Source organism: Homo sapiens, chromosome 17 (assembly GCF_000001405.40).
Source record: "Homo sapiens chromosome 17, GRCh38.p14 Primary Assembly".
NCBI classification, from domain to species: domain Eukaryota; kingdom Metazoa; phylum Chordata; class Mammalia; order Primates; family Hominidae; genus Homo; species Homo sapiens.
This window is the reverse complement of record NC_000017.11, coordinates 68990416-69003288: the sequence shown is the minus strand read 5'-3', so window position 1 is coordinate 69003288 and position 12873 is coordinate 68990416. Positions and strand designations below refer to the sequence as shown.

At 38.1% G+C, this 12873-nt stretch overlaps 1 protein-coding gene across 11 annotated transcripts in view; it reads left to right on the top strand.

Annotated features, from left to right (window-relative positions):
• Positions 1 to 12873, top strand: part of ABCA9 (ATP binding cassette subfamily A member 9) — a 104490-nt gene that overhangs the window by 75689 nt on the left and 15928 nt on the right. For 10 of the 11 annotated variants that reach the window (XR_007065256.1, XM_017024011.2, NM_080283.4 and 7 more), the window contains 4 exons: positions 7275 to 7394; positions 10205 to 10273; positions 11023 to 11114; positions 12332 to 12452. Coding sequence is in view for 10 of the 11 variants with exons in the window: in XM_017024011.2 (XP_016879500.1) it covers positions 7275 to 7394; positions 10205 to 10273; positions 11023 to 11114; positions 12332 to 12452 (402 nt within the window). In the remaining variant the exon portion in view is untranslated. Of the gene's footprint in view, positions 1 to 7274; positions 7395 to 9739; positions 10274 to 11022; positions 11115 to 12331; positions 12453 to 12873 lie in introns of those variants that run through there. The other variant, XM_024450531.2, reaches the window with a different exon arrangement.

Sequence of the window (12873 nt, the reverse complement as noted above, 5' to 3'; positions counted from 1 at the left end):
GAAGGAAGTGCTAAATATGGAAAGGAACAACTGGTACCAGCCTCTGCAAAATCATGCCAAAATGTAAAGACCATCGAGACTAGGAAGAAACTGCATCAACTAACGAGCAAAATAACCAGCTAACATCATAATGACAGGACCAAATTCACACATAACACTATTAACTTTAAATGTAAATGGACTAAATGCTCCAATTAAAAGACACAGACTGGCAAACTGGATAAAGAGTCAAGACCCATCAGTGTGCTGTATTCAGGAAACCTATCTCACATGCAGAGACCCACATAGGCTCAAAATAAAAGGATGGAGGAAGATCTACCAAGCAAATGGAAAACAAAAAAAGGCAGGGGTTGCAATCCTAGTCTCTGATAAAACAGACTTTAAACCAACAAAGATCAAAAGAGACAAAGAAGGCCATTACATAATGGTAAAGGGATCAATTCAACAAGAAGAGCTAACTATCCTAAATATATATGCACCCAATACAGGAGCACCCAGATTCATAAAGCAAGTCCTGAGTGACCTACAAAGAGACTTAGACTCCCACACAATAATAATGGGAGACTTTAACACCCCACTGTCAACATTAGACAGATCAACGAGACAGAAAGTCAACAAGGATACCCAGGAATTGAACTCAGCCCTGCACCAAGCGGACCTAATAGACATCTACAGAACTCTCCACCCCAAATCAACAGAATACATTTTTTTCAGCACCACACCACACCTATTCCAAAATTGACCACATAATTGGAAGTAAAGCTCTCCTCAGCAAATGTAAAAGAACAGAAATTATAACAAACTATCTCTCAGACCACAGTGCAATCAAACTAGAACTCAGGATTAAGAATCTCACTCAAAACCGCTCAACTACATGGAAACTGAACAACCTGCTCCTGAATGACTACTGGGTACATAACGAAATGAAGGCAGAAATAAAGATGTTCTTTGAAACCAACGAGAACAAAGACACAACATACCAGAATCTCTGGGACGCATTCAAAGCAGTGTGTAGAGGGAAATTTATAGCACTAAATGCCCACAAGAGAAAGCAGGAAAGATCCAAAATTGACACCCTAACATCACAATTAAAAGAACTAGAAAAGCAAGAGCAAACACATTCAAAAGCTAGCAGAAGGCAAGAAATAACTAAAATCAGAGCAGAACTGAAGGAAATAGAGACACAAAAAAACCCTTCAAAAAATTAATGAATCCAGGAGCTGGTTTTTTGAAAGGATCAACAAAATTGATAGACCGCTAGCAAGATTAATAAAGAAAAAAAGAGAGAAGAATCAAATAGATGCAATAAAAAATGATAAAGGGGATATCACCACCGATCCCACAGAAATACAAACTACCATCAGAGAATACTACAAACACCTCTACACAAATAAACTAGAAAATCTAGAAGAAATGGATAAATTCCTTGACACATACACTCTCCCAAGACTAAACCAGAAAGAAGTTGAATCTCTGAATAGACCAATAACAGGATCTGAAATTGTGGCAATAATCAATAGCTTACCAACCAAAAAGAGTCCAGGACCAGATGGATTCACAGCCGAATTCTACCAGAGGTACAAGGAGGAACTGGTACCATTCCTTCTGAAACTATTCCAATCAATAGAAAAAGAGGGAATCCTCCCTAATTCATTTTATGAGGCCAGCATCATTCTGATACCAAAGCCGGGCAGAGACACAACCAAAAAAGAGAATTTTAGACCAATATCCTTGATGCACATTGATGCAAAAATCCTCAATAAAATACTGGCAAACCGAATCCAGCAGCACATCAAAAAGCTTATCCACCATGATCAAGTGGGCTTCATCCCTGGGATGCAAGGCTGGTTCAATATACGCAAATCAATAAATGTAATCCAGCATATAAACAGAGCCAAAGACAAAAACCACATGATTATCTCAATAGATGCAGAAAAGGCCTTTGACAAAATTCAACAACCTTGCATGCTAAAAACTCTCAATAAATTAGGTATTGATGGGACATTCAAAATAATAAGAGTTATCTATGACAAACCCACAGCCAATATCATACTGAATGGGCAAAAACTGGAAGCATTCCCTTTGAAAACTGGCACAAGACAGGGATGCCCTCTCTCACCACTCCTATTCAACATAGTGTTAGACGTTCTGGCCAGGGCAATTAGGCAGGAGAAGGAAATAAAGGGTATTCAGTTAGGAAAAGAGGAAGTCAAATTGTCCCTGTTTGCAGATGACATGATTGTATATCTAGAAAACCCACTGTCTCAGCCCAAAATCTCCTTAAGCTGATAAGCAACTTCAGCAAAGTCTCAGGATACAAAATTAATGTACAAAAATCACAAGCATTCCTATACAACAACAGACAAACAGAGAGCCAAATCATGAGTGAACTCCCATTCACAATTGCTTCAAAGAGAATAAAATACCTAGGAATCCAACTTACAAGGGATGTGAAGGACCTCTTCAAGGAGAACTACAAACCACTGCTCAAGGAAATAAAAGAGGATACAAATGGAAGAACATTCCATGCTCATGGGTAGGAAGAATCAATATTGTGAAAATGGCCATACTGCCCAAGGTAATTTACAGATTCAATGCCATCCCCATCAAGCTACCAATGCCTTTCTTCACAGAATTGGAAAAAACTACTTTAAAGTTCATATGGAACCAAAAAAGAGCCCACATCACCAAGTCAATCCTAAGCCAAAAGAACAAAGCTGGAGGCATCACACTACCTGACTTCAAACTATACTACAAGGCTACAGTAACCAAAACAGCATGGTACTGGTACCAAAACAGAGATATAGATCAATGGAACAGAACAGAGCCCTCAGAAATAACGCCGCTTATCTATAACTATCTGATCTTTGACAAACATGAGAAAAACAAGCAATGGGGAAAGGATTCCCTATTTAATAAATGGTGCTGGGAAAACTGGCTAGCCATATGTAGAAAGCTGAAACTGGATCCCTTCCTTACACCTTATACAAAAATCAATTCAAGATGGATTAAAGACTTAAACGTTAGACCTAAAACCGTAAAAACCCTAGAAGAAAACCTAGGCATTACCATTCAGGACATAGGCATGGGCAAGGACTTCATGTCTAAAACACCAAAAGCAATGGCAACCAAAGCCAAAATTGACAAATGGGATCTAATTAAACTAAAGAGCTTCTGCACAGCAAAAGAAACTACCATCAGAGTGAACAGGCAACCTACAACATGGGAGAAAATTTTCGCAACCTACTCATCTGACAAAGGGCTAATATCCAGAATCTACAATGAACTCCAACAAATTTACGAGAAAAAACAAACAACCCCATCAAAAAGTGGGCGAAGGACATGAACAGACACTTCTCAAAAGAAGACATTTATGCAGCCAAAAAACACATGAAATAATGCTCATCATCACTGGCCATCAGAGAAATGCAAATCAAAACCACAATGAGATACCATCTCACACCAGTTAGAATGGCAATCATTAAAAAGTCAGGAAACAACAGGTGCTGGAGAGGATGTGGAGAAACAGGAACACTTTTACACTGTTGGTGGGACTATAAACGAGTTCAACCATTGTGGAAGTCAGTGTGGCGATTCCTCAGGGATCTAGAACTAGAAATACCATTTGACCCAGCCATCCCATTACTGCGTATATACCCAAAGGACTATAAATCATGCTGCTATAAAGACACATGCACACGTATGTTTATTGCGGCATTATTCACAATAGCAAAGACTTGGAACCAACCCAAATGTCCAACAATGATAGACTGGATTAAGAAAATGTGGCACATATACACCATGGAATACTATGCAGCCATAAAAAATGATGAGTTCATGTCCTTTGTAGGGACATGGATGAAATTGGAAACCATCATTCTCAGTAAACTATTGCAAGAACAAAAAACCAAACACCGCATATTCTCACTCATAGGTGGGAATTGAACAATGAGATCACATGGACACAGGAAGGGGAACATCACACTCTGGGGACTGTTGTGGGGTGGGGGGAGGGGGAAGGGATAGCATTGGGAGATATACCTAATGCTAGATGACGAGTTAGTGGGTGCAGCACACCAGCATGGCACATGTATACGTATGTAACTAACCTGCACAATGTGCACATGTACCCTAAAACTTAAAGTATAATAATAATAATAATAATAAAAAGATAAACCAATATCAGCCAAGAAAGAAAGCCTGTTCAGAAATAATAAGCACTTTATCAGAGCAAATAGAAGATCTCAGTAGACCTACATATGTTATACATGTCCAAGATAAAAAGGTGCTGCATGACTTCCCAATAAGAAAGAAATTAATAAAGTATTCCAAAACAATGCAGAACAAATAAAACTTCCATTCAAGCATTCTCTATAGATTTTTTAAAAGAATACACATTTAATAAGACAAAAGCTCAGAGTCACAATGATAAAACATCTTGAATACAAAAAAAAAAGAAATTTTAGATCCACATAAACACACTAACCATCAGCACAATTTCAGAATTAATAATGAATTCTGAAAAAGGCTGAAAATCTAATTACATATATAAATAAAGGATTAAGATAATCCCCATAATCAGCAAGACAACAATAAGAAAAGATGTAAATACAAAACCAATCCAACAAAAGAATAATTAATATTTTTTATGTAGCAAATCCATTGTTACACATATGTATAATTCTTTTAAAATAATTCTATGTATAAAAATATAATAGAAGAAATTCTTAAATTTAGAAAGAACTGTTATGGAATGATCAATATTCATTATGATATGAAACTTCCAAATAAAGGCTCCCAAGAAGTAAATGAAAACCAATCATAAAAGAGAAAACTTCCAACTGCCTCAGATTTATCTCCTACAATTCCATGTGTCACTTTTCACACATCTGAGGGAAAGGAAATGGAATTTCTCTCTTCCAAAATTATATCTACCAAGTTGCAGTTCTAGGAAAGGTCAGACATAATCAAATATAAAATGTGGAAGTAAACGTTTTAAAAGCCCTACTGAAAAATATTAGTTGGTCCACACAAAAACCTGCACAATGATGTTTATAGCAGCTTTAATTATAATTGTCAAAACTTGGAAGCAACCAAGATGTCCAAGATGGTGAATAGACAAACTGTGTTACATCCAGACAATGGAATATTATTTTGGGTAAACAGAAATGTGCTCTTAAGTCACGAAAAGACATGGAGGAAACTTAAATGCGTATTACTAAGTGAAAGAAGCCAATCTGAAAAGTCTACACACTGTATGATTACAACTAAATGACATTCTGGAAAAGGCGAAACTATGGAGACAGTGAAAAGATCAATGGTTGCCAGGGGTCATAGGGAGTGAGGGATGAATAGGTGGATCACTGAGGATTTTTAGGCCTGTATGATACTATAATGGTGGATACATATAATTAAAAATTTGTCCAAACCTATAGAATGTCCAACAACAAGAGTAAGCTCTAATGTAAACTATGGACTCTGGGTGTTAAAGATGTGTCAATAAGGCTCATCAATTCTAACAAATGTACTGCTTTGTTGGGGAATGTTAATAATGGCGGAGGCTGTGCCTGTATGAGGGCAGTGGGTATATGAGAAATCTCTTAACCTGCCACTCAATTTTGCTGTGAAGCTAAAACTGCTCCAAAAAATGAATAAATAAATAATAAAATCCTTTTAACAAAAAAAAAAAAAAAAGAAAAAAAATACCCAGGAACAAATTACAGCCACATGAAAGAGGAACCACTTAGGGTTAAAATTAATACAACCAGGAAATAAAGAATTCAAGAAAAGAAAAATTGCAAAAGCACTGATAAGGACCACTGAATTCACTTAAACATTTAGGAAGATCAAATAACTTTGGGAATCATAGAATACTTAAATATTTAATAGAAAAAATTCATAAAGTTGAAGAGTTCCTTTTGTAAAGCAAGCATAAATTTAATAATAAAACTTTAAAAAGCTTTGAAAACCCATTGATAAATTCACTTGGAAAAATTAAAGACAACTCTCTAAATAGAAAGAAAGCAAACACAGAAATAAGTTTGCAAAAGAATAATTTGGCCGAGCTCAATGGCTCACGCCTGTAATCCTAGCACTTTGGGAGGCCGAGGTGGGTGGATCACCTGAGGTCAGGAGTTCGAGACCAGCCTAGCCAACTTGGTGAAACCCCGTCTTTACTAAAAATACAAAAATTAGCTGGGCGTGATGGCATGTGCCTGTAATCCCAGCTACTTGGGAGGCTGAGGCAGGAGAATCGCTTGAACCTGAGAGGTGGAGGTTGCAGTGAGCTGAGATTGTGCCATTGCACTCCAGCACTTGGGTGACAGGGCAAGACTCCATCAAAAAGAAGAAGAAAAAAAGAATAATTTAAAAATAGTCAAGTATGATTTATTTCAGAACACAATAATGGTTCAGTATTAGCAGCTAAAGGAAGAAAACTATATAAGTCAAGTAAAGACCATATAGTTCCTTAAAAAGACCTAATATAAAGAAAATAGTAACACAAGAGGGACAAATTACCCAAACCAATGGTAAATGTCATATTAAATGGTAAAATTATAAAGTTATTTACTTAATATCAGCAATAAAATCAACGATGCCTACAATAAATAATATGACCTCCTGTGTCAATGATGTGTGGTGTGACGTGTACTCTAATTCATGGTTTGTAGAATAGATGTCACAAACTTTACACAAAATGTTAGCAACTGTTAAAATTTTAAGTGCACATAAATTTTAACCTGCAGTTACACTTTTCAGAATCTCTCCTTCCAGACTAAAAGTGTCCATACATAAAGACCTATGTAGACCATCATTCATAGGAGCAGAAAAATTAAAAACATGTTTTCTGAAGGCAAAGTTGTTGAATTTTGCACATCCATTCAAACAAATAATTGCCAAGAAAACAAATAGCTGGTTTGCCTAAGCCTAAAAGGATGTCTATGAACTATTGTGAAATGAAAAAAAGAAAAATGCAGAGTAATGTACAATAAATAATCACTTTATCAGAATCTAAATTTTAGCAAGAGTCTCACCTGATTTGTATGCCATTGAGATTGAGAAGCATCACTGTGTCTTTTAAGAAATTAATAATAAATCCCATACAAAACTGTGATGAAATTCCATGTTGCAAAGGAAAGAAATGATATAAATACTGGTTTGGGGAGTGAAATTGAAAATAACAACGTTTATAAATGAATTCCCACCCTCTTAGAAAACATCCTAAAATTCAGATTGGTACACTTTAATGACGCTATACTGTGCATTTGTTTTAGGTGGTCATCTTCTCGATAGTTGCTACTGATCTAAATGAATATGGATTTCTAGGGCTATTTTTTGGCACCATGTTAATACCTCCCTTCACATTGATTGGCTCTCTATTCATTTTTTCTGAGGTAAGTAGTTCCACTTCTGTCTGAGGGTCATGAAATGTGTGGTCATTTGAGAAAGCCATGAATATTGCAAAAATATAGATAGAGTCCTCAGCTGTGCAAAGTTTAAAAGTCTCTGTCTTTGGAAAGTCAGTTCTCTTGCCACGCATGGATAAGGGGCATGTTCTGATTCAGTAGGAAGCCAGCTTTGGTTTATGACAAGTCAAAGGCAACTCCAGGAGAGTGGAAGTTTAGTTCTCATGATAACTCTCACTGCTGGGAACCCTACTGGGAGGCCAAAGAGATGCCCCTTTTTTGTTAAGTTTTGGATATGTTAGGTTTGAGAAATGTCAAGTAGCCAGTTAGATACATGAGTCAGGAATTCAATGTGTCAGGGTGTGTGGAGATGGGGGTTAAAGCTAGATATTTGAGATTGATCAGTTTATAAATGGTATGAAAAGCCATGCGACAATAATATGACCTACGCGGTGAGTAGAGATAGAAATAAAAAGAAGGCCAATGACATGACCTTAAACTCCAAAATTTAGAGATTGGAAAGCAAATACATGATCTTGAACTCCAAAACTTAGAGTTGGTGAAGAGGAGGAGCCAGCGAATCCATTTGAGATGGAGCCAGGGAGATAAGAGAACAAAAATGGTAGCCTTCTGTGTGCTGGAGGCTCTTCTCAGACGCTCATAAGGGTGTGTGCCAGATGGCAATAAAGAACATTTCAAGAAGGAGGGAGTGATTAAACCATCAAATGCTATTGTGAGTTCTAGAAAGATGACAACTGAAAAGAGACCATTGGCTATGACTACACGAACGTCATTGGTGAGCTTCACAAGGTCGATTTTAATGAAAGTGTCAATGCAAAAGCACAGTAAGAGTGAACTTAGTAGAAAATGTGAGGGGAGGATGTGGTGACTGTGAGTACAGGCAAATATTTCTAGGAGATGTGGCAAAAAGCGTAGCAGAAAAATTCAAGAATAAATGAATAGGGAGGGTAGATTTTTGTCTGTGCTAAGAAGGAAAATACTATGCTGATGTTAGAGAAACTCATGCTGGAAAAGAGAGATAGAGGTTACCTCATGAGTCAAGTCCATGAATAGGTGAGAAAAAATAGCGTAAAGTCCACAAGTGGAGGGGGTGCTGTCCATAAAAGCAGGGACATTCCACATGCTTAATATGAAATTATAATCAGAGAATATGAACATAGGAGGCAGAGAGTTTAGTGGCTTTGCTGGTAGAAAGATGAGATGATTCTCTTCTGACTGATTCTACCTTTTTTAGGAAAGTAAGAGGGGAAGTCATTAACTTGGCCAAGGGGGCTTGGGATTTGGAGAAAAAAAGATGTGAAAAACTATTTCAGAACGTAGGTCATTAGGATGGACAGACAGTGCCGAAGACCCTCTGCCCTACTTTTCAGCGAAGTCAGCAAAGTAGAGAGTTTCTCTTATTACAGCCTGCTTTTAAATGCAGTTTAGGAAAGGCAGAGAGTTGGGTTCAATCAGGGTTGGACACTTGGCAGGCAAATTTGACAAAGAAAAGAATATGTGAGCAGTAGTTCTATATAAAAAGGAATTGAAGATATAATGGATTCTAAGCTAGAAAATGAAGTTAAGGACATGAGGGTGATTATGGACAGTGGAAAAGGAGTTGGTGGGTTAGAGGTTCTCCAATTCCAAATTATGGAGTAAGAACACTAGCATAAGGATGCCAAAAAACTAAAATGTACTGGCAGAGGCCAGGTGCGGTGGCTCATGCCTGTAATCCCAGCACTTTGGGAGGCCGAGGCAGGTGAATCACCTGAGGTCTGGAGTTCGAGACCAGCCTGGCCAACATGGTGAAACCCCATCTCTACTAAAAATACAAAAATTAGCAGGGCATGGTATTGGGTGCCTGTAATCCAAACTACTCGGGAAGCTGAGGCAGGAGAATTGCTTGAACCCAGGAGGCAGAGGTTGTAGTGAGCCAAGATCATGCCACTGCACTCCAGCCTGGGCAACAGAACAAAACTCTGTCCCATAAAAAAAAATATAGTATCAGCAGAGAGAGTAGAGATCTGGGAGCCAGAGGTTCAGTTTGGATGAGGTGCAATTATTGAAAGTGGGCAACTGGGGCACCTAAGAAAACAAAATCATTTGAAATGATGTCAAGGTCGTGCACATCATCCAATGTGGAAAAGTCATCTTTTCTAGATGGTGGATGGCTGTGATAGTTAGAAATCTACTGCAAAGCGTTTAAAATTGCTCAGGAAACTTGTTGGTAAATATAGCTCAAGAAACAAAATTGTCCTTTTACCTTTTATTTGCAAAAGAGTGGGGAATGTTGGAAAAATGCACTTATATGTATACGTGTGAAACTCTAGGGGAAGAACTTTGTCTTCAGTTTGAAAAGATTGTCATAATTACTCTCAAAAGTGGCTGTAAGAGGGCAAGAGCAATATAAAGATTCCAGGGCCCTTGGGGGCATAATCGAGGGAAGAGCACAAATGAAGACAGAAATACAGGTAAGGTTAGGGGAGAGGGTTTGTCTTAAGACAGACTTGGCATTGCTTCAAAGGATCCTGCCAGCACCAGCCCAGGATTCTCCTAACAGAGCAACTCCTGCTGACTCACAGTGTTACATACAAAGGCATCCCGGCCTAGAGACACACTGGAAGCAAAGAAGACATACTGCACAGTCCGAAATTAACTTTTACATGATACCCAAGGGAGCATCAGGTCGAATGGTTGTAAGGCCATTGAATAGGCATCAGTTTATCTTAAGTGGGATAAATTCCATGAATAAATAAAGAAGGTTCACCTGAATACACTTACTGCTCATTTTACAGATTTCTCCTGATTCCATGGATTACTTAGGAGCTTCAGAATCTGAAATTGTATACCTGGCACTGCTAATAGTAAGAAGACTTTTTTTTTCAACATTCTTGCATGAGGGAACACAACTTTTGTATGTTTTGAGTTTCTCTGAATTGCATCAAATTAAGAAGGTTTGGACATTTTAGGCATTTGAAGCAACACACACATGCACATGCATGCATGCGTGCACACACACACACACACGATGGCTTTTAACCTGGACCCCCCCCCTTTTTTTTTTTTGAGACAGAGTTTCACTCTTGTTGCCCAGACTGGAGTGCAATGGCGCTATCTCAGCTCACCACAACCTCCACCTCCCGTGTTCAAGCAATTCTCCTGCCTCAGCCTCCCAAGTAGCTGGGATTACAGGCATGCACCACCATGTGTGGCTAATTTTGTATTTTTAGTAGAGATGGGGTTTCTCCATGTTGGTCAGGATGGTCTCGAACTTCCGACCTCATGTGATCCACCTGCCTCGTCCTCCCAAAGTGCTGGGATTACAGGCGTGAGCCAACGCTCCTGGCCCTGGACTCCTATCTTTACAATAATTATCTGTCATGGGTAGTACTGGTTTCACTTGCTACTATTATATTTCTGTTAGGCTCTCTCTGAATAGCAGTGAGGCTAACTTTGACAGTTTCAAAGAATATTACAGGTTGTCTTTCAGCCTTGTAAAAATGAATGCTATCAAATCGAATTTTTATATAATCAAACTCTTTAAATCAATTCCAATATTGAAATCATTGCATTTATAGTGATACTAATTGTGATTGTCTTTCTTTTTCCCTAGCCTTACCTTCATTTTCTCATTTTTCTTTTCATTCTGCGATGCCTAGAAATGAACTGCAGGAAGAAACTAATGAGAAAGGATCCTGTGTTCAGGTTGAGAAAATCAAATCGAATTTCATGTTTCATTTTGATATTCATTCTTTAAGGACTTTTTAATGTGCTGAATTAATTAAGTAAAAGACACTTCACAGGATGGTTTTTAAAGACTGTGATATACAAAATTCTTATAACCCATAATATAGGAATATATACTGAGCTTACAATCTAGAGAGAGAAACCATATTAGCACACACGAGACACTGGAAAATTAAGGCAGACCATAATTTTACTATAGAGGAAAGTTATGTGTAAGAGGTGGAATCTCTAAAATAATGGGTAAATATAGATAAGCATTGGGAAAGTTAATCCAATCCGGGAAGGAAGAATAGTTTGTGCAATAAAACCAAGGATGAGATGAAGGCACCAGGAGCTCCTTTGTAGGCTTATGTTGGGGGATGATGAAAAATGAAAGTGAGGCTAGATATTGGAGGATCTTGAAACAGAAAAGTATAGGAAAGGTTTTGCAAATTACATAATGTGAAACCAAGACACCAATGTGTCTTGAACACTTAGCCTTCCATATAAAATATAAACCAAGCTTAAGTCTAATGTTTGTGGTAGCAGAGAAGAGTGACAAGATGACAGCCATGTTTTAGGAAACCAACAGGCAACCAGAATGTCAGAGCGTGGCATGAGGGAGAGATAAAAGAATGAGCAGGAATCAATGGTGGGATGATGAAGGCAAGAACGAGTCTGTAGCAGAGAGGAAAGAGTGATTCTGTCACACATTCCCAAGAAGTGACTGTGCTCAGTAACTAATTAGGCATTGGTATGGTGATTAGATATCCTGGATTCTCTGGGACACATCCTTGATTCCAAATCTTTGGACTCATGGCTCTCACAAAGACCTCAGAATTCCAAAATATCTGTTGTCAAAACTATAGTTCCTAGATTCCTTTCCTCATGCAACTCTGCTTCACAATCCTTTGCCAGAGGGTGTATACCACTTTCTTCTTTGAAAGAAAACTGTCACCATCAACAGGGAGGATTAAGCTTTGGTAAAAAGCGAAGATGATATAAGGATATCATTACTCTACTCACTGAAGGAAACTAGGGTGTTTGAAAGGCGGATGGTGCAAGTAGAAGAATAGAGAGGATGTTGTGCTCTGAATGAATCTACTCCAAAAATTGGAAGTATAGAGAAAATTCATTAATTTTGATACAAGATTTTTAACCCGAAGTTTATCATTATCACACTGTTTTGATTTCAGAATTTCTCCAAGAAGCAACGCTATTTTTCCAAACCCAGAAGAGCCTGAAGGAGAGGAGGAAGATATCCAGATGGAAAGAATGAGAACAGTGAATGCTATGGCTGTGCGAGACTTTGATGAGGTAGAACTCAGAAATGTTCTTCGTCAACTATTTTTTTTTCTGACAGATAAAGTGAGAAACTTTCTAAGTTTAGTTTTCGAAAAACACTTGGGGTTCTTTCATTCTTACACATACAGCTTATTACTTGACTTCAGCAGGTATGCAAGGCCCACAAATGTAAGAGAGCAAAGAAAACACACACAATGCACTTTGGGAGGCTGAAGTGGGAAGATCACTTAGGGTCAGGTGTTTGAGACCAGCCTGGGCAACAAGTAAGATCCCATTTCTACAAAATTAAAAATAAAAAAATTAGATGAGCCTGGTGGCATGTGCCTGTAGTCCTAGCTACTCAGAAGGCTGAGGCTGGAAGCTCACTTGAGCCTGAGAGTTCAAGGCTACAGTGAGATATACTTGCACCATTGCACCCTAGTTTGGGTGACAG